Source organism: Homo sapiens, chromosome 1 (genome assembly GCF_000001405.40).
Source record: "Homo sapiens chromosome 1, GRCh38.p14 Primary Assembly".
Taxonomy (NCBI): domain Eukaryota; kingdom Metazoa; phylum Chordata; class Mammalia; order Primates; family Hominidae; genus Homo; species Homo sapiens.
In genome coordinates, this window is record NC_000001.11 from 202,476,837 (window position 1) to 202,504,744 (window position 27,908).

A 27,908-nucleotide genomic window follows, 5' to 3' on the forward strand; every position below is an offset into this window, starting at 1 on the left:
CTTCAAAACCCAATTTCCCATTGGATTCCGGACAAAATTTATTTTGTTATCATTCTAGAGAAAGCAGCGTTGTTCTCTCCTTGGAAATTATGATTATTTCTTTTTTCATTCTTCTACTTGGAGTAGTTTTATTTTACTTAGGTAACCCTATGAACCTTCATGGAGAATATTTCAAGGGAATTAAGTCCTCTTCCAAATGAGTTAGCCATACCTGGTAAAAATAATTAAGGGGAACTCTTTGATTAAGATGTGATGAATATTGTAGCACACCTATCCTTTCTTTATTTTCCAAATTATTACTGATGAGCTTTTAATATGACAATGAAAATAATGTAGTAGTAAGAGTGTTGGTCGTGATGATAGTAGTTCTGGTCATGGTAGTAGCAGCAAACGTGTGCCAGGTTCTATTCTAAGTGCCTTACATGGGTTTGCATTTAATCTTCACAACTCTATTAATATATCTGTATATATCTGTTACAACTGCTCATATCTTCATTGTATAAGAAACTCGGGTATAGAGTGCTTAAATAATTTATCCACAATCACCTACCAAGTAAGCTGAGAAGCCATGGTACAAACCCAGGCAGTATGATTTTTATGCCAGGGTACTTTATCACTACACTATACCTGTCAAAAGACAGTTTAGGTCTTTTATTATTATTTATTGTGACTTTTAAAATATTCACTGGTGATTTGCTGGATGTTTTGCACAACTTCCTTTTTATTTTTCTTTTCTTTTCTTTTTTATTTGAAACAGGCTCTCACTCTGTCACCCTGGGCTAGAGTGCAGTGGTGCAATCATGGCTCACTGCAGCCTTGACTTCCTGGGCTCAAGCAATTCTCCCAAAACAACTTCTTGAGGCAGAATTTGTCCATTTATAGTGTGTGAAGGGGCAGTATAAACTTTAGTGACAAAGTACAAAGTGTATCTTTGAAGTCATGCTTAATTCTCTGTAATCAATTATTTGAATGCCACTGATGGTGTAATCTCAATATCATACCAAATACAAAGAAAAATTCTTCCTGCCCTCTAGGAAACATAGTAGATAGAGATGGTAATAAGAGGACTTTGGCATCTGAATTCCTTCTCATGCTACTAAACTGTGAGTGTTAGCCTGGTTTTTTCCGGATGCCAGAAGGCGAGGGGATAGATGAGAAGCCATGGCTTCCATTATTTTTATTTCTGTTTTGTGAGACTGTATCTGTCTTCTTTGCATAGCAATGAAGAATCCTGTAGCATTCAGATTCATGGATGGCTGCAATGCTTCTCAGAAAAATCAAGGAGTGTGGAGTGAGGGCTTGCTCTACATAGGGGTCAGCAATATTTTTCTATAAAGGTTCAGATAGTGATTATTTTGGCCTTTGCAGGCCATGTTGTCTCTGTTGCAGTTACTAAACTCTGCTCTGTGATTCCAATAAAACTTTATTTACAAAAATGTTGCAGGCCAGATTTGGCCCAAGATCATAGTTTGCTGACCAGCTGGTCTAGATTTTAGAAAGTGTTACAGAAGGACTTAGTCTCTACTGAAAACGTAGTATGTTCTCAACGCAGCTATAAGTTAGGCACATTACTTCTGTAATCTTTGGAATGCCCATCTGAGATAAAGAAAAATGAATGAAAATGTTCCTTCAAAAACATTTACAGTTCAAGTACTAGAATTTATGGGTTTTGTTTTTATATATTTTTTCTTAAATAGTAAAACTCTCATATATTGACACAGGTTACAGAATAATATGTGTGATATTCATAGTATATAGTTTTTATAGTTTTATAGTTTATAAAAAACTATATATAGTTTGTATAGTATATATTTACATACAATCTGGACTTATATGCAGTAAAATAAAAATGAGATTATCTCCATGTGGTGGAATTTTAGTTGATTTTTGTTTTCATATTTTTGTCTGTTTTTTCCCCTGGGGAAAAAAAGCAGTGTGATTTCACATGTGTGATTTCAGATATTTAAGATTCCAAGTCAGGTAAAATATTCCTGATCTTACCTACCAGGTTTTTATGAGCTCTGTTTCTCTCATTCAAAAAAACTCTCTAGAGTAGGCAGTAGGATAAGGGAGCCCTTTTTCTTTCACTGTGCCTTCTGTCCTGTATGCAAAGAAGAGATAAAGATCAAGAATTCAGTATAATAGTGATACTGTATGTTTTGCAGGTAGAAATAACACGTGAGTAGGTTTGCTGGTAATCTAGACAGAAATTCATGGGAAGTTAGTTCTCACCAATTCCAGTATCTGGACTACAGCTTTAGTTTTGGGACTTAATTTTTTTAGTTCACTCAGAGGCGAGGAATATATTAAGGAAATATGCAAACCTACCAAACTATAGCATATTGACACACGTATTGGAATTCCAATTTACTAATTTACCTTGAGGGAAAAAATATGAGTATTAAAAACATTGCCTGGTTGGGGACTTCTGCTTCAGTCTGTGGCATATTTTGTTTATGTAAAATCTTCCACTGAGAATAACTAGAAAAAACTGGATAAATATAAGAAAAAAGTTTTTGAAGGTACTTGAGAGTTACAAAGCAAGTGAGAACTTGAGGGATCAAGATCCTGGAGAGAAGGAAACCTTAAAAGGGTAAACCCAACATTTGGCTCTACTTTTCCCCTTGAGGTATTTGCTGATTAGTAAAGCAGTGGCTATGAGCCTGAGAAACTGAACAAGATTTTCGTAGTCTCATGGGACTCAGGGAATGATTGGAGTTCAGAAAGAGAGCCTAGCGGATACCCCAGACTTTGATTTAGAACCACTGAAGGGCTACATTCTAAGGGCTTACCAGAAATAGACCAGCCCTTGAAAAGACTGAAGCCTAGCTTCCAATCAGCTCAGTCTCAAAGTGGATTAAGGTACTTTGCCTTAGTCTCCTGGTTCTTAAAATGTGGTCCCCAGACCAGCAGTGTCATCTGAACTAATTAGAAATGCAGATTATCAAACCCCTACACCAGACCTGCTGAATCAGGACCTCTGGTGGTGTGGTACTCAGAAATTTGTATTGCATAAGCCCTCAAAGTGGTTCTGATACAAGTGAAAGTTTAAGAACCACTTCCTTAGCCTAACTGCCAGGGGGAAAAAATATCCTCTCTGAAGGGTAGCAACAACAATCATGAGTTATCACTCACTACATTTTTTTATTAAATATGCCTGATGTTATTTTAAAAATTAGCATACATACCAAGAAATAAGAGTTACCAAAAGACCAAAAGAAAAAATAGACAATAGGAACAAGTCCAGATACTGATATTATCAGACATGGACTTTAAAATAATTGTGATTAATATGTTCCAGGAAGTAGATAAGAAGTAGAGATTTTCACCAGAGAACTGCAGTCTGTTAAAAACAATCAAGTGGAAATTCTAGAAACAAAAAATCACTGAAATCAAGAAACTCAGTTGGTGAGTTTGCAGTAGTAGACCAGCTAAAGAAATGATTAGTGAACTGAAAGATTGGACAGTAGAAAATATCCAGAATGAAGCACAGAGAGATAAAAGGCTGGAAAATGCAGAAAAAGCATGATAAATCAGTAGAACATGGCCAGTAAGGTCTAACATAAATGATTGGAGTCCCAAGAGAAGACAGAAGCTAGCTTCATTTTTCACAGAACACCGTTTTTACTTCAAAGCATTACTGATGGTCAAACAATGGGTATTCACACCTGAGTAATTTGGCAGACATTTTCTTGAAAATAAAGTCAACCCATTGAGTATTTGTTGCCAATTAAAAATTTAAACTTTCAAGCAGAAATTAGAATTTTAGAAAACTTATATGCTACCGTGAGTAATATTATTGACAGCTTCCCAATACTTAAAGACTGTTCTAAGATCAAAGGTGATATTAAATAATTTATTTTTACTATTATTATATAATGTAGTATGTCAATATTGGGAAGATCTGCTTAATGCAGCAATATTTTACAAATGCACCAATATTTTACAAATGACTAATGAAGATATGTTACAAAATCATGCATGACTAAGAAGATTCTTTGAAAGTACAAGATAGACCAAAGGATTTCAATGTAACAGAATATGAAAAATCTATTAATATGTTTTAGAGCAGTGTTCCCCAACCTTTTTGGCACCAGGGACTGGTTTCATGGAAGACAATTTTTCCACAGACTGGTGGGGGCATGGGGTGTGGGGGGCAGTGATGGTTTTGGGTAAAACTGTTCTGCAGATCATCAGGCATTAGTTAGATTCTCATAAGGCATGCACAACCTAGATTCCTGGCATGGGCAGCTCACAATAGGGTTCACGTCCCTATGAGAATCTAATGCCGTGGCTGATCTGACAGAGGGCAGAGCTCAGGCATCAATGCTCACTTGCTCACCTCCTGCTGTACAGCGTGGTTCCTAACACGCCACAGATCAGTACTGGTCTGCAGCCCGGGGGTTGGGGACCCCTGTTTTAGAGTACACATTGTAACTAACCACCACTTGTGTTGGTGTAGCATCAAAGAAAAATATCTCCCGATTATCTGAGAAAGCTATCACAATACTCCTCGCTTTTCCAACTATGTATTTGTGCAAGACTAGATAGTCTTTATATATTTTAACCAAAACAATATATTGACTGCATAAACAGATAAGAGGATCCCACTGTCTTCTATTAAGCCAACATTAAAGAAATTTATGAAAATGTAAAACAATGCCACTCTTCTAATTTTTTGTTTTGGAAGATATAGTTTTTTTAATAAAAAAAAATTGATGTTAAAATGTATTAGGGCTATTATTTTCTTTTTATTTTAAAATTTATTTGACACATTACATATTTATGGAGGTACAGTTTGATGTTTTGATGCATATCTGTGTTGTATAATGATCTAATCAGAGTAGTTAGTATATTCATCATCCATGCATTTATCATTTCCTTGTGGTAAGAACATTCAAAAGCATCTCTTTTACCTATTTTGTAATATACAATATTTTGCTTTTAACCATAGTCACCTTACTCTGCAATAGAACATCAGAATTTATTCCCCCTGTCTAATTATAACTTTGAACCATAAACCAACCTCTCCCCATCCTTCTCTCACCTCTTCCCTCCCCAGTCTCTGGTAACCACTGTTCTACTCTCTGATTTTATGATATCAACTCCCCCCACCTTTTTTTAGATTGCACATATTAGTGAGATCATGCAGTATTTTTTTTTTCTGTGTCTGGCTTATTTCACTTAACCTGATATCCTCCAGGTTCATCTGTGTTGTTGCAAATGACAAGATTTTATTCTTTTTTTTTAATGGATGGATACTGTTCCATTCTGGATATACACATTTTCTTTACCCATTCTTCCATTTTTGAGGACTCAGTTTCATATTTTTGTTAACGTAAATAGTGCTGCCATAAACACGGTAAGGCAGATAACTCTTCAATATACTAATTTCCTTTCCTTTGGATGTGTACACAGTAGTGGGATTGCTGAATCATATGGTAGTTCTATTTTTACGTTTTAAAGGAACCTCCATACTGTTTTCCACAATGGCTGTACTAGCTTACAGTCCCACCAACTTGTGTAAGTGTTCCCCTTTTCTTCACATCCCTGCCAAAACTGGTTTTCTTTTGTCTTTTTGATAATGGTCATTCTAAGTGGTGTGAAATGGTACCTATTGTGGTTTTGATTTTCATTTCCCTGATGGTTTGTGATGTTGACCATTTTTTCATATACTCATTAGCCATTTGTATGACTTCTTTTGAGAAGTAAATGTCTGTTAAGGTCTTTTGCCCATTTTTAAAATCAGGTTTTTGTTTTTTTGTTTTGTTTGCTGCTAAGTTCCTTATATATTCTGGATATTAACTCCTTGTCAGATGTATAGTTTGCAAATTTTCTTTCCCATCCTTTAGGTTGTCTGTTTACTCTGTTTAATAGTTTCCTTTGCTATGCAAAAGCTTTTTAGTTTGTTGCAATCTCATTTGTCCATTTTTGCTTTTGTTTCCTATGCTTTTGAAGTCTTATTTAAAATATCCTAGCTTAGCCCCATGTCATGAAGCATTTCTCCTATGTTATCTTCTAGGTAGTTCCATAGTTTTGGGTTTCCATGTTAAGTCTCTAATCTACTTTGAATTGATTCTTGTATGTGGTGAGAGGTAGGGATTTACTCTCATTCTTCTGCATGTGGATGTCCCACTTTCCCAGCAGCATTTATTGAAGAAACAGTTTCTCCCCTAATGTGTGTTCTTGGCACCTTTGTCAAAAATCAGTTGGCTTTAGGTGTGTCAATTTATTTCTGGGCTTTCTATTCTGTTCCATTGGTCTACGTGTCTGTTTTTATGCCAGTACCATTCTGTTTTTGTTATTATACATTTGTAGTATATTTTTAAGTTATGTAGTGTGATGCTTCCAGCTTTCCACTCAGAATTGCTTTGGCTATTCATTTTTTTTTTCTGGTTTCCTATGAATTTTAGGATTTTGTTTTATTTCTATGAAGAACACCTTTTTTTTTTTTTTTTTTTGACATGGAGTCTTGCTCTGTCGCCCAGGCCAGAATGCAGTAGGCGCAATCTTGGCTAAGATATTAACAAGAAATTACAAAAGATAGAGAACTGGAAAGATAAACCTATGGAAGAGCTTCTAAGAGAAGCCCAAAAAGTATATGTAAAAAGAGAGAAAGACTGACAGAGGGAACAGAGGAAGTCTGTGCCCAAAATCCCAGTGAGTAGTTTGGTGGGAACGACGGTTACAGAACAGGTGACTCAGGATGACTCAGGTCAGAGCAGGTGATAGAGGCTAGGAGGGGGTTGTTTACTGAAGCTAGAGGCAAGAGGGTGAAGAGAACCAGGAAGTTAAGCTTTAAAATGGAGAATAGAGAATAAGAGAGCTGAATATACTGGCATACTGATTCTTTGAAGAGAAACTTGGAGTTCACTACATTTAACACCTACTGTTATAGTATTGCAGTCTATCTCTCCCTTTACCTCTAATAATATTTGCTTTATATATCTGGGCGCTCTGGTCTTGGATGGATGGATGTATTTATAGTTTTTATATCCTCTTGCTTAATTGTACCCTTTATCAATGTCTGATGACCTTCTTTGTCTTCTTTTACAGTTTTTGACTTAAAGTCTGTTTTATCTGACATGGTTACTCCTGCTCACTTGGTTTCCATTTGCATGGAATATCTTTTTCCCTCCCTTTACTTTTATTCTATGTTTGTCTTTAATGGTTAGGTGAGTCTGTTTTAGGCAGTATATAGTTGGGTCTTGTTTTTAATCCGTTCAGCCACTCTATATCTTTTAATTGGATAATTTAATCCATTTATATTTAAGGCTATTATTGATAAAGAAGGTCTTACTCCTGCTATTTTGTAAATTTTTTTTTCTGGTGGTTTTATAGATCCTTCGTTCCTTTCTTCCTCTTTTATTTACTTCTGTGGTTTGGTGGTTTTCTGTAGTGCTGAGCTTTGTTTCCTTCCTCTTTCTTGTTTGTGCCTCTGCAGTAATTTCTTTCTTTCTTTGTGGCTACCATGGGGCTAACATTAAAAGTCTTATAATAGAATGTTTTAAGCTGATAGCAACTTAACTTTGGTTGCATTAAAATACTCTAGACTTCTCTCTTTTGTTTCTGTAATTTACTTTTTTACCTGTGATTGTATTCCTTAGCTACTAATTGTAAGTGTCACGGGTTTTGACCATTTTGACTTTAAACCTTCGTACTAGAGGACTGAGAGACTTACATAGCACCATTAAATCACTGGGCTAGTCTGAATTTGATTTATGAATTTACCTCTATTGGTGAGTTTTATACTTTTACATCTTTTCATGAAAATAATTATAATCTTTTATTTCCAGTTATACCATTCTCTTAAGTATTTCTTGTAAGGCTAGTCTAGTGGTGATGGGTTTTTCTCAGCTTTTGCTTGTCTGGGAAGGTCTTTATTTTTCCTTCATTGGTGGTTGATAGCTCTGCTGGATATAGTATTCTTGGCTGACAGGTTCATTTTTTTCCCCCAAACACTCTGAATATATCATCTCATTCTCTCCTGGCCTACAGGATTTCTCCTGAGAAATCCAGGGGTACAGGGCTGCTGCTTGACCAACTATCAGGCCAAGCATGGGTACAGCAGGGCCACACAACCCTGCAGTGGTCTGTCTTTGGGGCAGGGCTGCTGCTAGACTGGCTGTCAGGCACAGTGGTGTGTGGCCACAGCAGGGCTGGGTGGTTCTGCAGCGGTCTGAGGGATGGAACCACGGTAGAACTGGTTGTTGGGCTGGATGTGGGTGTGCATAGGTTCAGCTGGCCAGCTAGCTGTGCAGTGCAGGTATGTACCGGTGAGGGGACTGGCCAGCAGTTAGGCAGTTTCCCCCCTGTGCAGCTTTGGCTGTTCCTGGGGTTGGGAGGGTAGTGTGCCACATGGGTTCAAGAGCAGAGGTCTCAGTTGTTGCATCTGGCTAGGCTTCAGGCAGCTAGGATTGTAGTGCTACAGGTGCCTGTGTGAACATGATAGAGTGATGGCAGGGCTACAGGAATGGAGAAAGTCCATTCCTGTACTGGACTACAGGGAAGGGCACATTCTAGTAGTAGGTTCAGTTTCAAGATGGTGCTGAGTAGCAGCAGCTTAGGATGTGAGGGTGGGGGGCAGGGGGTGCTCAAGGTGAGCTCCTACTCTAGGCAAAGTTAACTGTATGAACTCTACTCTCCAAACTGGATTCAGGGCCTGTGAGGACAGAGGGACTCTCCTATAGCAAGAATTTCTGGCATTTGTGGTAGCAATGGGGATCACTGGTGATCTCCAGCTTACGTTTTTCCCTTAAGAAGCCCCCTCTGGCTCCAGGCTGATCCTGGTAGGGAAGACAGTGTGGCAGAAGCAGAATACCTTGCTCCCCTCTCTATGGTGCTGCCCTGGACTTTTGTCTTCCACAGGGATTTTGCTGTTCCCCTAGTGCTCTCCCGAGTACTTCTTTGGTCATTTTAATTGAAATATCGTTGTTTATTCATTGTTTTGGTCCCTTTTTGTGGAGAGGATGGGCTTTAGGTAACTCAATTTGGCCATCCTGCTGACATCACTCCATCTTATCTAGGGCTATTTTAATATTATTATTATTGTTATTATTATTTGAGACAAGGTCTGGCTCTGTCAACCAGGCTGAAGTGCAGTGGTATATTCTCAGCTCACTACAACCTCTGCCACCCAGGCTCAAGCCGTCCTCCCATCTCAGCCTCACGAGTAGGTGGGACTACAGGCATGTGCCACTGCACCCGGCTAATTTTTGTATTTTTTGAAGAGACGAGGTTTTGCCATGTTGCCCAGGCTAGTCTCAAACTCCTGGGCTCAAGCCAGCTACCCGCCTGGGCCTCCCAAAGTGTTGGGATTACAGGCATGAGCTACTGCTCCTGGCTGCTATTATTTTTAAATAAATTAATAAATACATTTTTTAATTTTTAAATTTTAATTTCTAGTAAGATAAATATTAAACCCCATATAAACAAAAGCTCTCTGGGGTTCTCAATAATTTTAAAAAATATTAAAGGATCTTGAGACCAAAACAATTTGAGAACCACTGCTCTAGATATTAAAATAACAAATATATTCTAAGGGTATTGTTAACAACTTGATGCCACTAAATGTGATAATATAGACAAAATAGAAAATTTCTTAAAAAACAATTACCAAAACAGAAAATTTGAATAAGCCTAACTCTATTAAAGAAATGAACCCTTTATTTAAAACTTTCCCATAGGGGCTGGGCACAGTGGCTCACGCCTATAAACCAGCACTCTGGGAAGTCGAGGTGGGAGGATTGCTTGAGCTCAGGAGTTCAAGATCAGCCTAGGCAACATAGCGAGACCTCATCTCTACTAAAAATAAAAAAAAGTTAGCAGGGCGTAGTGGCGTGCACCTGTAGTCCCAGCTACTTGCAAAGGCTGAGGCGGGAAAATCGCCTGAGTCCAGGAAATCAAGGCTACAGTCAGCTGTGATCACGCCACTGTACTCCAGCATGGGCAACGAAGTAAGACTCAAAAATAAAAAACAAAACCTTCCCACAAGGAACACTGTAAACCCAGATGACTTGATTGGTGAACTCTTCCAATCATTTAAGGAGGAAATAACCCAAATCTTACACAAATTCTTACAGAAATAGACATGTAGAGAACACTCGCAATTCATATAACCTTAATTCACAAAGCTGACCAGCATATTACAAGAAGGGAAAATTATAAGCCAATTTCTTTCATGAATGTGGTAGGAATTCTAAACTAAATAATAGTGAATATGTTTAAAAATCTATATAAAAAGATGGTACATCTTGACCAAGTTGAGCTTGTCCCAAGAATTCAGTGTTGCTTTATCATTCAAAAATTATTCAGTGTAATTCACCTTCCTGACAGAAAAAAGGAGAAAAGCAATCATCTCAATATATGGGGAAGAATAGCATGTGATAAAGTTCAACATACACTAATGATTAAAAAACAACAACGAGAAACTCTCTTAGCCTATTTTCTATAGGAACAGAAGGGAATTGCTTTAATTTGATGAGTGGTATCTGCATAAATCTTACAACAAACATTACACTTAATGAAAAAATGCTGAAAGCATTCTCTTTGATGGCAGGATTACAGAGAATGAAAACTTACTATCATCACTGCTTTTCAGCATGTCCTAGAGATTCCTAGCCAAAGCATTAAGTCAAGAAAAGAAATAAAAATTGGAAGGATAGGAAAGAAGAAATAAAATTCTCATTTTACAGATGACATGATTCTGTGTGAACAGTAATACATTTACAAACACAATAGTCCCGTTATCCATGGAAGATACATTTCTTTTTTTTTTTTCTTTTTTTTGGAGACCTAGTTTCACTCTTGTCACCCAGGCTGGAGTGCAGTGGTGCATTCTCAGCTTACTGCAACCTCGGCCTCCAAGTTAAAGTGATTCTCTTGTCTCAGCCTCCTGAGTAGCTGGGATTACAGGTGCCCACCAGCACATCTGGCTAATTTTTGTATTTTTAGTAGAGACAGGGTTCCAGCATGTTGGTCAGGTTGGTCTCCTACTCCTGACCTCAGGTGATCCTCCCACCATGGCCTCCCAAAGTGCTGGGATTATAGGCGTGACCCACCACACAATACCTTTCAAGACTTCCAGTGGATGACTGAACCTACAGATAGTACAGAACCCTATATAAATACTATTTTTTCCTATAAATACATATCTACACTGAAGTTTAATTTATAATTAGGCACAGTAAGAGATTAACAATAATACTAATAACTAATAATAAAATAGAACAGTTATAACAAAATGCCAGCATCACTACTCTTGCACTTTGGGGCCATTATTAAGTAGAATAAGGATTACTTGAACATAAACACCGTGATATCACAACAGTGCATGATTTGCATCTCAGGAGGGACAGAATGGAACAGCATGAAATTTCACCACGCTATTCAGAACAGTGCACAATTGAAAATGTATGAATTGTTTATTGATGGAAGTTTTCATTTAATATTTTCAGACCACAGTTCACCATGGGTACTGAAACCACAGAAAGCAAAACCACAGATAAGGGGGAACTACTGTAATGACTTGGATTCTGTAATGTTTGCTGATGGTTGATAGCATTTCTGTCATTTTGACTTTGCTTAAGTTCATTCCTAGAATGTAGAAATCTCTTCAATATGTGGAAACACTTTGTCATTCCTCAAGTATATGCAGCAAAGATCTTGCTTTTGCTATTACTTTTTTTTCTCTGCAGGTCCTATCTGACTCCTGTACGGGATGAGGAAGCAGAGTCTTTACGGAAAGCACGCTCCAGACAAGCTCGGCAGACACGAAGGTCTACTCAAGTGAGTGTGGCTTTTTTTAAAATGTCATTTTGTGTATCTACCCTTCTGTTGGAGGTACAATCAAAACACACTGCAATATCCATGTTCAACTGCTGATTTAAACACACACACACACACACGCTCACGGCTTGGCGTGGTGGCTCACACCTGTAATCCCAGCAATTTGGGAGGCCAAGGAGTTGAGACCAGGAGCATTCCTGACTTGAGGTCAGGAGTTCAAGACCAGCCTGGCCAACGTGGTGAAACCTGTCTCTACTAAAAATATGAAAATTAGCCAGGCATGGTGGTGCATGCCTGTAATTTCAGTTACTCGGGAGGATGAGGTGGGAGAATTGCTTGAACCTGGGAGGCAGAAGTTCCAGTGAGCCAAGATTGCGCCACTGCCCTCCTGGGCGACAGAGCGAGACTCCATCTCAAAAAAACAAGACAAAGCAAAACACACACATGAAAATGACTGCCCTATTCCAGCCAGTCTTAAAAGCTTTCATTGTGTTGAATCTTATACTACATAGAACCAAATGAATTTACAGCTACATCTACCCATTCTCACCAATATTCCTCCAGGCTTAGAACAGGTTTATCTCTTTTCCTTCACAAGATTAATTATTCCACTTGTGCTTAAAGACCTTAAGAATCCCTATACATCCCTATATCCCTACTACATTTTAAGAATCCCTAAGGGAAAAGAGTTTGGCAATTCCTCAAAATTTTAAACATAGTTACCATTTGACTCAGCAGTTCTACTCAAGAGAAATGAAAACATATGTTCATATAAAAACTTGTATATAGGTGTTTGTAATAGTATTATTCATAATAGCCAAAAAGTAAAAATAAGCCAAATGTCTATTAACTAATGAATGGGTAAACCAAATGTGATAAATCCATGCTATTTGGCAATAAAAAGAAATGAAGTACTGATACATGTTACAACATGGATGAACCTTAAGAAAACATTATGCTAAGTGAAAGAAGCCAGACACAAAACACTCCATATATTATATGATTCCATTTATATGAAATGTCCCAAATAGGCAAATCCAAAGAGACAGAAATTAGATTAGTGCCAGGGCTGGGGGGAAGGCAGAATGGTGAGTATGTGGTTTCTTTTTGGGGTGATGAAAATTATGAAATTAGATGTGGTGATAATTTTATAACTCTGTGAATAAACTAAAAACCAAGGAATTGTATACTTTCAAATGGTGAGGTTTATGATATGAGGATTGTATTTTAATAAAGATGTTACAAAAGGAATCCCTGAGGGAGTCATTGAAGCAGTTTAAGGGAATATGGTATAGTCTACATTATATGTTAGAAAAATCACCCTGCAGATAATTGATGGGAATGGTAGGTAGAGGTATGTTTACCAAGCCTGGAAGCAAGAAGACTTGCTAGGAAGCTGTATTGTAGTCCAAGTTGTATTGTAGTCCCAGGAAATTACAAGGGTATGAAATCAAGTTGTAATGGCAATGAGAATGGAGAGAAGGCTATGAATTTGTTATTGAAAGAAGCAAAGAAAGATGAGCCCATGAAACAGAACGAAAAGAAGCAGCAGGAGCGGTGAAAAGAAAATCAGAAAATAGTAGCAGCATGGAAGTGAATGAAAAGTCCATTTCCAGTGAAAAGGAGAAGTTCCACAGTTTTAAATACTACAGAGGTCAAGTAGCAAATTTCACCACTGGAAAAGAGACATTATATATGGCAGCAAAAACACCCTTGTTGTCTTCTTTGACTCTCCCAAAGTAGGTCATGTATTCTTCCTTTATTTTTACTTGATGATTATTTGTCTGTTTCCTCCATTAGAATGTAACCCCCAAGAGGACCAAGACTGTTTTTTTGTTTTGTTTTATTGTGGTGAAATATACGTAACATAAAACTTACCAGTTTTACCATTTTTAAGTTTACAGTTTAATGGCATTAAGTACATTTACATTGTTGTATAACTATCACCACCATTCATCTCTAGAACTTTCTTCCTCTTCCAAAACTGAAACTCTGTATCCATTAAATAATTACTCCCCATTTCCCTCTGGCAACGCTGCTTCCACTTTCTGTCTATGAACTTGACTATGCTAGGAACCTCAAATAAGTAGAATCATATAGTAGTTGTCCTTTTGTGTCGTATTTTACTTAGCATAGTTATCAAGGTTCATCCATATTATAGCATGTGTCAGAGTTCCTCCCTTTTAAAGGATGAATATTTCAGCCTTTTATGGATACTGCATTTTGTATATCCATTCATCTGTCAGTGGACATTGGGTTGCTTCCACCTTTTGGCTGTTTAATGCTGCTATGAGAATGGCTATACAAATATCTCCCTGAAACCCTGCTTTCAATTCTTTTGGGTACATACTGAGAAATGGAATTTGCTGGATCATGTGGTAATTCAATTTTTAATTTTCTGAGGAACTGCCATACTGTTTTCCTTAGCGGCTGTACCATTTTATGTTCCCATCAGCAGTGCACAAGGGTTCTAATTTTTCCATATCCTCACCAATATTTTTGTTGTTGTTGTTTTTATGAGATGGAGTTTTGCTCTTGTCACGCAGGCCGGGGTGCAATGGTGTGATCTTGGCTCACTGCAACTTCTGCCTCAGGGTTCAAGCAATTCTCCTGCCTCAGGGTTCAAGCAATTCTCCTGCCTCAGCTTCCCAGGTAGCTGGGATTACAGGCACCCATCACCACACCTGGCTAATTTTTGTATTTTTAGTAGAGACAGGGTTTCACCATGTTAGCCAGGCTGGTCTTGAACTCTTGACCTCAAGTGATCTACCCACCTTGGCCTTTCAAGGTGCTGAGATTACAGGTGTGAGCCACCATGCCCAGCCTGTTTTTTTTGGTAATAGCCACCCTAATGGGTGTGAAAAAGAAGACAGGCTATACTTTAGCTCATCTTTTCCACCATCATACAGTAAATAAATCAATATATATTTATTGAATAAAAAAATGAGTGGGAAATAAATGATAGGGAAAGATAAATTGCTCTGGAATGATTTCAAGTTTGTTTATGAAGGAATGGGAAAAGATAGGGAAGTTGCTGGAGAGGGGCATAGAATTGAAGGTGGGAGAGACAGGAACATAGAAACGTCTTAGAGGGAAAGATTCAGTAGAGAGGGAGTGAAGGTCCATGTCAAAACTTGAATAGATCTTTGAACTCGTTGAAATGTGTACATAATTTTTGAGGAGATTTTATTAGATTCTCAGTAGTCTTCATGAGATTCTCAAAGGGACCACCGACTCCCAAAGAAAGTAAAATCTAAGCTTCTTAGCATAGCTTACAAAATCTGTTATGACCTAGCCTCTGCCTGCTTTCCTAAAATCACCTATCCTCATTCTCTCTCTGTCCTCCAACTTTCCTTTTTTTGTTGTGTGCTTCATCTTTGCTAAGTTACCTACAGATTCCTAAATCATCCGTGGCCTCTCTTGTTTCTGTATCTTTGTACAAGATCCCTCTATCTATAATGCCTTTTCTCCCTCCCCCTACCCAAGTTCTTTTTACTCTTTAAAACCCAGTGTTCGGTATTCATCCTATATACTCTTGTGTTTCTGTTTTAATACTTACATTCTCTCATTATACTCGTCTGTCTTCTTACATCTTTTCTGCTAGACTAAAAGGTTCTTGACAGTAACCATTGGATTTGTCTTTGTAGTTCTAGTGCCTAAAGACACCTAATTCTTTATTAACAGAATGAGTAAGTAAATGAATTAATAGTAAAAAAGCTGGGGGTGGGGAGGGGAAGCAAGTTGTGGATACAGTGCCTGATCAACTAACTACCTTCCAGCTTTGGAACTTCCTTCTTCTGAGGACTCATGCACATAACTACTTGAGTTGGAATCAGCTCATGCTCTTTCTAAACTCCTTTTCTCCCTTCTCCTGTAGTTTTGTCATCATTTGCCTGTCTTCTCTCTTGCTGCCCCTGTGACACTGTGGGGGGAACATTAATTGTTGGAATATCCCTATATGATTCCTAGAGTTACTTGGGAATTGATATTAGAGAAAAGCTAGTCTAGGAGTTTTAAGAGGTTATGTTGTTGTTATTGTAGCCTAGCTCTGAATTTTCATCTTGTTGAGCCAGGTTTTTCTTTTTTTAAGTGAATATTTTTCCCCAGTATCTGCTGTTTAGGAAATCTCTGTTGGTAACCATTTGATCTTGGGAGGGTAGGGACCTTTCAAATAAAGATACTGAGAACTATTTGGTATGGAAAAAGTACATCTATAACAGGCAGACATCAGTGTTGACCTATTTTCTGGAGATCAAACTAGAAAAACTAAAGTATTACATTTAAAATGTACCTAGACTCAGGCCCGGGTTCTTTGTACACTGAGATGCTTATTTTAAGCATATATTGCTTGAAGTGGCCTCATTATGCATTTTGAGGGGCTTCATTTTGGGATTTGATAACTATTAGGTCTTTTTGGGAATATTCCTGATCAATCAAGAGTTATTCCATGGTTAGTGTGAAACAGCCCTGATCTTGTGATATTTTCCCAGGGTGTCACCCTAACAGACCTTCAAGAAGCAGAAAGGACATTCAGCCGGTCGAGGGCAGAGAGGCAAGCTCAGGAGCAGCCTCGTGAGAAGCCCACAGACACTGAAGGGCTTGAGGGGAGCCCTGAGAAGCATGAGCCCTCAGCAGTTCCAGCAACAGAAGCTGGGGAGGGCCAGCAGCCCTGGGGCAGGAGTCTGGATGAAGAGGTGAGCTCATTTTTGCTGGCATGTACTGTGCTAAAAGCAGGGTAATTAGTTTGGGGAGTATCTTCTTCACTGGTAGTTCAAAGGCTGTGTTCTACCTTGCAATGGACAACTCACTCAGTATGGCTGTCTTTAGTTTGCAAACCTGTGTGACAAAAATTTAGAGGATGTTGGTCCTTAAATGACCATTTTTTTCTTCTGAGAGTTCACTGATGCTTTTGAATAAATGTCCTTCTAGTCTAAAAGGAGAGGTCATAGTATAACAAAATGCAAATAAAAATATAAGCATATATTGAGTGTTTACTTTACTCAATACATGCTTACTTTATGCCAGGCACTATTTTAAGTACTTCTTGTGTATTAATGCATTTAATCCTCATAACAACTCTCTGAGGTAAATATTACTATTTCTATTTTATATATGAGGAAATTGAATCACAGAGGTTAAGGAATTTGCCCATTTCACATAGCCAAGAAGTGGTTAAGCCAGAGTTTGAACATAGGCAGTCTGACTCCACAGCTTGCTCTCTTAACTACTAGTGTATTGTTTTTCAAACTCTTATAAACCTAAGGGGCTTACAAAGCACTCTTGAGTGTCACTGTTGGGAGGGACGTTTTGATTTATGTTTCATTTCTCTAGTGGAGTTGGTAGTAAAAGGTATAAGTTTATATTTAGGGTGAACATAACTCCTGGTTTACCTAAGATGGTTCCAATTACAACTGTTGTCTTTGTGTAATTATCATTACCCCTCCTTTGCACTCTCAAAAGTGTCCCAGTTTGGACTGATAAATGTTATGGTCACTGTGGTTATAGAAGAAAGGTATCTCCTTCTTGCTTTGACTCTGAATGGCTAGATTCTATAAACTGAAGTTCTATTTTGTATTTTGTTTTATAAGCTACTATTTATTGAGTACCTATTACCAGGTATTCTTCTAAGCACCTAACACACATTTTCTTAATTTAATCCTCATAATCCTCTCTGAAGAAGGTGTTATCTCTGTTTTATAGATGAGGAATTTATGGCCCAGAGAAGCTAAGTAACTTATTCAAGGTCACAGCTAGTAATGCTGAAGCTAGAATTTGAACAAAGATCTTTCTGACTCCAAATTTACTACATTTTATTGTATATGTCTTTATAAATCACAAAAATGTGTACAATCTCTATGTCATAAATTTAATGTGTAGTAAGGATTTATCTATCTCTGAGTCTTCCATAAACCAAGTTAAGGCTTATTGTTAGGCTCTATCTGTCCTAATTCTCAGGTTTAAAAAAAAAAAAAAAAAAGACCACAATAGACCAGAATTGCTTGAACCCAGGAGGCAGAGGTTGCAGTGAGCCAAGATCGCAGCACTGCACTCCAGCCTGGGCAACAGAGCAAGACTCCGTCTCAAAAAAAAAAAGAAAAGAAAAGAAAAGAAAACAACAACAACAAAACAAAACTACAAAAAGGAAAATGGGAACTTTAGAAAGTTTCAGTAAGCCTGGTTATGGCAAGGTGGTAGAGTATTCAGAACTCGGTAGGATACTCACATTTATTCTCTGTTCTCAGGTAATCCCTACATTCTGCTTCTTCATGCTCCTGATCTTTTTGTTTCCCTACATAAACCTTGCCTTTCAGCCCTCCATCTTAAAAAGGCCATCATTCTTATTTTCATTCCAAGATCAAAGGAATTTTTTTTACATGGTTAATGCTATCTAGTACCCTTTGGTTAATTGATGAATAATTTGCTTGAACTGCTCTCAACATGATGGGATTCTCAGAGTAGGAGTCTAGCAGCTGTGTTTTTTTTTTTTTTGTCTAATTAACTAACTTTAGCTTAGTTCATTTATTGAGTGCCTATTACCAGGTACTCAATATTGATCATCATCTACTCATAAGCCCCTTAATATAGAAAAAAACATTTTGTATAAACCTGCTGTCCTTACTCTTTAGATGGACTTGATTTCTAATATCTCATATTGTGGATTATTTCCAGCCTATCTGTCATCGCCTGAGGTGCCCAGCTCAGCCAGACAAACCCACCACGCCAGCATCTCCTTCTACGTCAAGACCCTCACTCTACACCAGTTCCCACCTGCTATGGACAAATAGATTTTCAGTCCCTGATTCTGAGAGTTCAGAGACTACCACAAACACTACAACTGCAAAGGAAATGGACAAAAATGGTATGTAGAACTTCAAAAGACACAGGCCCCTCCACAGTGCACATCCCCAGATTCTTAAAGTTCATACTTTATTTTATCTCTGGCCAGAGAATGAAGAAGCAGATTTGGATGAGCAGTCCTCTAAGAGGCTGTCCATCCGAGAGAGGAGGCGGCCCAAGGAACGACGAAGAGGCACAGGCATCAATTTCTGGACAAAGGATGTAAGTGGATTGGTCTGTGCTGAGGCATATCATATTACTCTTGGTCACCATTCTTTCAGTTGAGTTTAAAAGAAAGAGTCCCGCATGGTGCCATGAATCTTGCAGTTTCTCAGGAAGTATTACTGAGGAAAAGAGAAGAAAGACCTAACTAGTGTGGGACTCATTTGGTATGTTCCTGCTAGATTCCCAGTATCTAGTACAGTGCTAAGCACATGGTAGGCACTCAGTAAATAATTGGCAAAGAATTAAAAAACTGGAAATATACAACAGCCATATAAACAAATATAACAAGTGAATAAGCTTGTCGAGTTTTAGTAGTCCTTCCTAATATTCCCTGAATGTCATGTAGTGAGTCAACAATATCTTAATGCCACATATGAGCAGAGATTCTAACTAAATATTGTAGGAGTACTACAGGAAGTTCAAGGAACTTAAAACCTCTAAGTAATACAAGTTCACTTAGTTTTACTGTTTTAGAGAAAAAGTGGAACAAATAACATAAAATAGATGAACTTTGGCTTTAAAATAAAGACAGATATGCCAATGTTTACTAACTACAAATACACAATCAGTAGTTCCATTCATCCTCTTCCATATCTTGTTCTGTAGCCTTCTCATTCAACCTTGTTATTGGCATTTTAAAGAACAAGTGGCCAATAACTTGGACAAGACGACCCTGCCTACCAATGACTCCTTTGAAAATTGGACACACTTTATTCAGTGAGACAAGAAATGAGACAGTAGTAGTCATTCATTATAAATTATTTTTTAGATAAAAATATTTCATTGTTTTAGGGCTAAATTGACTGATAAGTATTGACAAAGATGAAATTAAGTCTGTCTGTCTTGTCTGTCTGTCTTAAAGATATCCCTTTTCCAACTGTGGTTGATTTGACTTTTTAGACTACAGGTGACATTTCTAAGTTGCCTGCCTGTGATGGCTGTGAAAAGTAGCAGTAACAGAGCATCACTTGGAAGTCAATTCTCATTGCCCATGTTTGAAATGCCAAGATGCATAATTGATGGGATCTGACCTTGTTGCTTTCAAGGATGTCTGTGACAATGAGCCTCTTGATTTTCTTCCCTTTTCTTTTTTAGGAGGATGAAACTGATGGCTCTGAAGAGGTCAAAGAAACGTGGGTAAGTGACAAGCCAGTGAAGCATGTCTCTTGAGAGCACAGTCTTGCTCTTGTATGTAATTTTAGTAGAAGAAAGGGCAAGACTTAATGCAGATTTTAGTTGAGAAGGAGTTTGGAGATAGACATTCCTCTAAGAGATGGGGCAGGTGTTAGTTTGTGGTACTATTTTCTCATGTGGTGTAACAGTGCCTGTGCTCTTGAAGCAGTTTCCTACATTTTTCTGTGCCTACTGCCAGTCTTTCACACTGTTATAGGATCCATCATTTTCTCTCTTGTATGTTATTGGATTATATGAAGTACTTTGAAATCTTTGAATGAAAAGTGAAGAGTGATACCAGTTCCTTTTTGGATCCGCACTAATAGAGAGGGACATAAATGTGGAGAATGTAAAACATCAGACAGTCCCCAAGTCATTTATATTTGACTTTGAGATAAGATTAAACATCTGGCATCTTACATAACTCTGCCCTTTTAAGGCCTGACATCCAACTCTTCCCTGCAGTGAAAGGCCTAAGTTCAGCTTTTCTGAAGATACTCCAGGCTCCTGTAAGCCACTCAGACATGATTGGTGGTGGTTTTCTTTTTAGTACTGTTTTCCAAGAAGGAAGGAATTTGGTTCTGACTAAATTAATTGAAATACATGTGCTTTTCTATTGAAATTATGTAAAAAGATGACCTTTTGTATCCTACAACTTATTGGAAGTATGTTTTCAGAGTATATTTAATAACCTGTACTGAAAATTAACATCTAACTCATCTTTAGCAGAGAAGATATAAATAATATATTGTCATTGATCTGCCTATATTTTTGTCTAGATCCAAAACAGACAATAGTAGCCTTCTAGAAAGTAGTGCCTTTAATGACTAACGGTGACATAGGTGAGAATTGCCTGCCCTTGGTTGAAGCTGGGGCTACTTCATAAAGGCAAGCTATGTGGTGTGGAAATAGTATATAGAGGTTCCTTGGGGCACGAGTGTGTGCCTGTGTGTATGTGTATGAATTATAGCAACTCTTAGTTTCTTCAAGGGGCTTGGAAAGGCTTTTGGAGATAGGAAGAGTGAATATAGGAAAGTTCCTTTGGGGAATTATAACTCAAAGCATATATAACTCAGGAAATATAACTCAGAGGATCTGAGTTATAGATTATAGAGTACTGAAATGGAACATTATCCATACAGAATTACATAGGCCATTTAAATCCAGGGAATTGCAAAAGGGAAGGCTTTGTTGTCATAAGAATGTCTTTTGCCAGTGAAAATTCTATTCTCTACTTTTCTAAACTTCTTGGCACTGGAAAATCCTAGCCTAGAGGGTACCAAGTAAGGAAAATTAAGATGATCTTGATGCAGTACTTCCTAGGGAATTTTACTTTAGGACTGTTGACTTGAAAGTATGAAGAAAAGCAGAGACTGTTGCAGTTTGATGTGAAAGGCATTTGTCAGACTAAAAAATACTCCACACATCCAATTGCATAAGGCATCTACTAGTGTTTACCATGTGTCAGGAAAACAACAATGTGAATCAAAAAGAATAAACAGCCCATTATCTGTGGACTGGTACATTTGAATTTATGCAGATAAGCTAAGGTTGCTATAAGAAATATATTCCAAGTGCCAATCTCCAGCCTCGCTAATAGTGCAGGAAGAAAGGCCGATAATGAATCAGCATAGGGTGAGGCATCCTTTTTGTAAAAGTCTTATATTTGCTTGTTTCATTTCTTTCAGTTAAATTCTTAACTGTTTTTCTCCCTTGAGCACTCTCTCCTAATGCTAGCAGGCATGATGCCATTATCTATATGGGCCTACAGAGCCACATGCCTGGTCATGGCCTAGTGTAAATTCCTACATTTCTATTTCAAGACAATCAGTAGTATCTTATGACCACCTCTCTACCCCAGCTCCATTTTCATCCTTCAGGCAGTACAGTTGACTCAGCTCTGCAACAACAAATGAGCCAGTTAAAGCGGAGGGCATTCCATTGAAATGGTGCTGTTAGCTAATCAGCATGGATACAGTTGAGAAGCCCAGGGCAGCTCTTTCCTTTCTTGGTTTTTAGTTCAATAAAACTATATCTGCTATTGAGGTCATGCTGGCTTCCTTCTCTTACCTAGTCCACTCCTTGAGAATTATAATATCTATTATTTTTAAAGTTATCTCTTCCCAAGACTCTAATATCTTGGCTTTTTTTTAACTGAAATATAATTTACAATTAATGCACAGATTTTAAATATACTGTTTGCTGGGTTTTGACACTTGTATGTACCAGTATAACCACTACCCAAATCAAGATATAGAACTTTTCCATCACCTTAAAACGTTTCATCATTAACGCTCAAGAATAAGTGATACTAATCTATGGTGATAGAAATCAGAAGAGTGGTTGCCTCTCAGGACAGAGAATTGAATGGAAAAGATAGAAATCAACCAGCAGTAATATTTAATTTTTTTTTTGAGACAGGGTCTTGCTCTTTCGCCCAGGTTGGAGTGCAGTGATGTAGTCATGGCTCACTGCGGCCTCAACCTCCCAGGCTCAAGTGATCCTACTACCTCAGTGTCCCAAGTAGCTGGGAGTACAGGCACAAGCCACCACACCCAGCTAATTTTTGGAGTTTTTCTAGAGATGGGGTTTCACCACGTTGCCCAGGCTGGTCTCGAACTCCTGGGCTCAAACAGTCCTCCTGCCTTGGCCTCCCAAAATGTTGAGATTATAGGCATGAGCCACAATGCCCAGCCAATAATATTTAATTTTAATGGTAGAAAGGAAGCTTCAACGGTTATTATCTTTATCTTATGCCTCCAGTCAGAGTTAGACCTAAATGATTCAAAATATCTATGGTTTTTCCCCCCTTCTTAAAGATTTCAAAAGAAGATTGTTTAATACTTCACTTGTATAGCAGTGACAACAACGTGGTTTAAGACCTTTCTGTTGTTTAAACTAAATCTCTATTGAGGTCATTGAAGTTCATTTCCTTTTTTATATACCAAGAAAAATGTAACCAACATTTATATACAGGTAAGATTTATGGCCAGGAATGGCCATAATGTTTGCTATCAATAGAATATTTGGTCAGAGAAATGCAAATCAAAACCACAATGAAATAGATCATCTGACCTGTTAGAATGGCTGTTATCAAAAAGACAAAAAATAACAAAACCTGGTGAGGATATAGAGAAAAAGAAACTCTTAATACGCTATTGGTGGGAATATAAATTAGTGTAGCCATTATGGAAAACAGTATGGAGGTTCCTCAAAAACTAAAAATTGAACTACCATATGATTCAGCAGTCCCACCACTTGGTATTTATCCAGAGGAAAGAAAAACAGTGTATCAAAGAGATGACGCTCCCTGGTGGTCTAGTGGTTAGGATTTGGTGCTCTCGCTGTCTCTCTCTCTTGCTCTCTCTCTCTCTCTCTCTCTCTCTCACTCTCACTGTCTCTCTGTCTTTCAAAGAGATATCTGCACCCCTATGTTTATTGCAGCACTATTCACAATAGCTAGGATATGGAATCAACTTAAATGTCCATTAACAGATGAACAGATAAATTAAATGTGGTATATGTACATAGTGGAATACTATTTAGCCATAAAGAAAAATGAAATTATGTCATTCACAGCAACATGAATGATCCTGGAAGCCATTATGTTAGGTGAAATAAGTCAGTCACAGAAAAATAAATACCTCATGTTCTCTCTCATATGTAGGATCTTAAAAAGTTGAGCTCATAGAAGTAGAGAGTAGGACTGTGGTTACTGGAGTCTGGAAAAGGGAGATAGTCAGAGGTTGGTTAACAGATATAAAATTACAGGTAGGGGGAATAAGTTCTAGTGTTCTATAGCACTAAAGGGTGAATATAGTTAATGATAATTTATTGTATATTTTCAAATAGCTAGAAAAGAGGATTTTGAATGTTCCTAACATAAATTATTTTTGATGCTAGATATGCTGATTACCTTGATTTGATCATTACATATTGCATATATGTATTGAAATATCACTTCATACCACATAAATACGTACTATTATAATGCATCAATTTAAAATTTTTAAAAAGAGAGTATGTGATAGACTAGTCATGCATTGCTATGCTGGGGACAGCAAGGAACATGCTTAGAAGGCTGGGGACCCTACTTAAGCCCAACATAGTGCATAGTTTTAGTCTGAACCCATCTCCACTGGTAAATCCATGAACCAGTGAAACTAACAATGAATATGTAAAATTGACATCTTAGCACCTCCTTGACAGATGTGTTTAAAAACAATTCTGTTTTGTTTATCCACGTTAGGTATATGACAGTCTCTGAGAATCTTAATAGATCCTTTGTCTTTCTGAATGAAAAATAATCTGCATCTTAATTTGAGGAATAGGGTTATTCTAATTATATCTGAAAATGCTTTTATATTCAGCAGTGTGTTTGCTGTTTTCTTTACTATAGTAGTAATCACATAGAATGTTTGCCCTGGAGGGAACAAGCATAGGTACGCCACAGAAGATAATGACCATTTGGATATTTCTATCTTTTTTTACCTGCATCTTTGGCCTGGATTCCATTTTCTTTACATTGAGTTTTATCTATTGCTTTCTTACTGTTTTCCCTGTTTGCTCTGGAGCTGTTTTCCAAGCCAATCCTGTTGTATAATTGAATTTATCACTAGAGGGCACAAGTGGTCAACAGAAAAGATATTGGTGAGCAGGCAGAATGGTGCCCTAAAGCTGAGCAGAAGACAAATTGCCTTTGTTTTTAAGGAATTGTTGAAGGACCGGGTTCAATGTAGTAAAGGTACTTGCCTCCCAACTTTTGGTATCATAGGATTGGAAGAGAATCTAGAGATATCTTGGATTAGGAACCAATTTTATGGTTAAGAAGACTGAGGCTCAGAGAAATTAAGAATTATTTGGGCATGACATCTCTGCTAGGTGAGCAACCTGTACCTTTTTTCAGGGAACCTCTTTGTTTGACTGTAGTGAAGCAAACCTGAAATTAGGACTTACATCCTTTTCTATTCCTTATTCATCCATTTGGTTTTTTTACTCAGCAGGTTACATGTTCGAATTGACTTGCTAGTAGCATCTCACCTCCTTGAGTGAAGGAACGTCTTCTTGAAGGACAACTTAAAAGCCTACTCAGAGTATCAAGATTCAGTGGGTAGAGCATCAGCATTCTTCTGCTGTCCTTGACATAGGTGGGTAGTTATGTATGTCAGGAAGTAAGACTTTTCATACTTTTCTTTTCCCCTAGAATCTCTATTGCTTTTAGATAAATCAGGTGGCACTCAATCTGAACAAAATCACTGAAACCTTACCCTCAAAGTTAGCAATGTAGCTGTCCCCATCCAGAATGCAATCAGTAGGTCTGGATTACTAGTCATCCCTCAAAACTGATTGGTAAAGGAGATAGTGTTAAAGAGTTACTAAATTATAGATATCAAGGTACCTGCCTTAGATAACTGGGGGTATGCTCGTGGAGAGATCTGTTGGTAAAAGTCTTCTAAAAGAGTTAAGCTATTAAATGCAAGGTTTTCAAACTACATGAAAGAACACAATTGGAATTTGCTAGCAGAGCTGAGTTTTGAACTTTAACAGAAAATAAATGCCATAGAAATAAATAGAAATATACCAGAAGCCACTAAATGCATTTTCCATTTTGTCCTGCCTTCACTTTTGTAAGCATCTTAATTCAACAAGTGCTTTTAAGCGCCGATTATGATCAAGCACTTTTCTAGATTCTGGGGATGCAACAATGAACAAACAGCCCTGCTCTTACGGAATTTACATTCTAGTGGGGGAGACAGACAAAATAAATATATAAAGTAAATACTATGTTAAAAGGTGATACGTGCTATGGAAAAACCATATAGAGTAGGCTAAGGAGGAATCAGAAGTGCCAACATGGAAGGAGGTTGACATTATAAGTAGGGTGGTCAGGATAGGCCTTACTGAGAAAATATGATTTAAGCCTAGTCTTAAAGGAAGCAAGGTGGGAAACTATGTGGATATGTAGGGGTAGAGTGTTATGGACAGAGGGAATAGCAATTGCAAAGACCCTAAGATAGGTGTCTGGCATGCTTGAGGACAGGTTAAAAAAAATCAATGTGGCTACAGTGGAATGTGCAAGCAGGCCAAATGGCATCGACTGATAAGTTATTATAAGAACTTTGGCTTTTGTAGTTTTGAGCACAAGAGTGACATGATTATATTTATATTTTAAAGGATTACTGCCTGCTATTTTAGAGAATGTACTCTGGGAGGACATTGGTGGAAGCAGGGACATCAGTTAGGAGGCCATTATAATACAGTAATCCAGGAGAAAACTGACGGTGGTTTGTACCAGGATAATAGCAGGCAGTAAAGATGCTGAGAAGTTGTCATATTCAGGATATATTTTGAAGTTAGAACCAATGAGATTTGCTGTTTTCTTGGATATCAGGTGAGAAAACAGAAGGTCAAGGTTGACACTAAGACTTTTTAGCTAAGGCAACTAAAAGCATGGAATTTTATTAATTGAGATGGAGAATACTACAGGAAGAATACAGAATACATTTGGTGGGGGAAAAGTAGACATTTGGTTTTGGTTTTAGAATTGTTAAATCTAATAGGTCTGATTGACATATTTCTACATGGAAATGTCAAGAGGACAGTTAGATGTAGGAATCTGCAATTCAGGTTTAAGGGCCAAGCTGGAACTACATCTTGGATATCAGTAAACCTAAAGATTGGATTTTAAAACCATGAGATTGAATGTGACCACGAAGAGAATGAATGTAGACAGAGAAGAGGCCGAAAGAGCCCTGGAGCACTCCGAAATTCAAATTGAGGAGAAGGGGAAGAATCAGCAAAGGAAACTGAGCAATCCTGGTACCTGACCCTGAGAATATGGATGCAGTTTCCCCCTTTTTCCAAAACGAAATCAAACAAAACACATGGAACAATAGGCAGTTTTATCATTGTTCTTATTTTACCTTTTTTTTTTTTTCAAGGGCTATTTCCCATGAAATCTGCTCAGTCTGTTTATAAATGGACCATGCAATGGTATAGGAGACCTGGACATTCCAGGGCATCTTCTGGTGTCTTTTGAGCTAGAAATTGCTTCCTTTCTGCAACCTTGTCTAGAGGCCTTTGAAGTCCAGGGATGTCATAAGACTCTTCTTACTACATCAGAGGGATTCTATTAATTACCATGTCTGCAAATGATCTGTTAACTTACCTCTTGGTCTCCTTTGCCAAATTTTCTTCAGCTCTATTACATCTTTGAATAAATGTCACTTCAATTTCAGTTAAGAAGACTCTTGAGGCCGGCCGTAGTGGCTCACGCGTGTAATCCCAGCACTTTAGGAGGCCGAGGCAGATGGACCACTTGAGGTCAGGAGTTCGAGACCAGCCTGGTCAACAGTGAAACCCCATCTCTACTAAAAATACAAAAATTAGCTGGGTGTGATGACGCCCACCTGTAATCCCAGCTACTCGGGAGGCTGAGGCATGAGAATCGCTTGAACCCGGGAGGCGGAGGTGGCAGTGAGCCAAGATCGCACCACTGCACATCAGTCTGGGCAACAGAGCGAGACCCTGTCCCCCCCAAAAAAAGAAGACTCTTGGAAAAACTTTTATTAGAAATAAAACAACACCTAAAAGTTGTTACTGTATATTAAAATTTGATTTCTCTGGGGTGGCTAGAATGACAGTTACAGACTAAATTTAAAGCTAAAAAATACTTTAAAGGTCACCTAGTTAACACTGTCATTTTAAAGTTAACAGCTGAGGCCCAGGAGATTAAGTACCTTGCTAGTGTCACATAGTTGTAGTCCTAGTGCACAGCTGTTGCACTACCTTCCAAATTTGTATCTTTATATCTGTTATATCTCTTATATCATATTACATACTGTTATGACAAATAATATAGCATAATAGTTAAGAGGACACACCCA

The 27,908-nt window shown here is 37.9% G+C and overlaps 1 protein-coding gene across 19 annotated transcripts in view; it reads left to right on the top strand.

The window, feature by feature from the left end:
* The window catches only part of PPP1R12B (protein phosphatase 1 regulatory subunit 12B), a 244,004-nt gene that overhangs the window by 128,138 nt on the left and 87,958 nt on the right, over positions 1 to 27,908 (top strand). For 11 of the 19 annotated variants that reach the window (NM_001331029.2, XM_017001345.2, NM_001410283.1 and 8 more), the window contains 5 exons: positions 11,697 to 11,787; positions 16,278 to 16,481; positions 18,457 to 18,646; positions 18,734 to 18,846; positions 19,945 to 19,986. In NM_001331029.2, coding sequence (NP_001317958.1) covers positions 11,697 to 11,787; positions 16,278 to 16,481; positions 18,457 to 18,646; positions 18,734 to 18,846; positions 19,945 to 19,986 — 640 coding nt within the window. Of the gene's footprint in view, positions 1 to 11,696; positions 11,788 to 16,277; positions 16,482 to 18,456; positions 18,647 to 18,733; positions 18,847 to 19,944; positions 19,987 to 25,022; positions 25,170 to 27,260; positions 27,618 to 27,908 lie in introns of those variants that run through there. The other 8 variants (XR_001737201.3, XR_007060692.1, XR_001737195.2 and 5 more) reach the window with 5 other exon arrangements.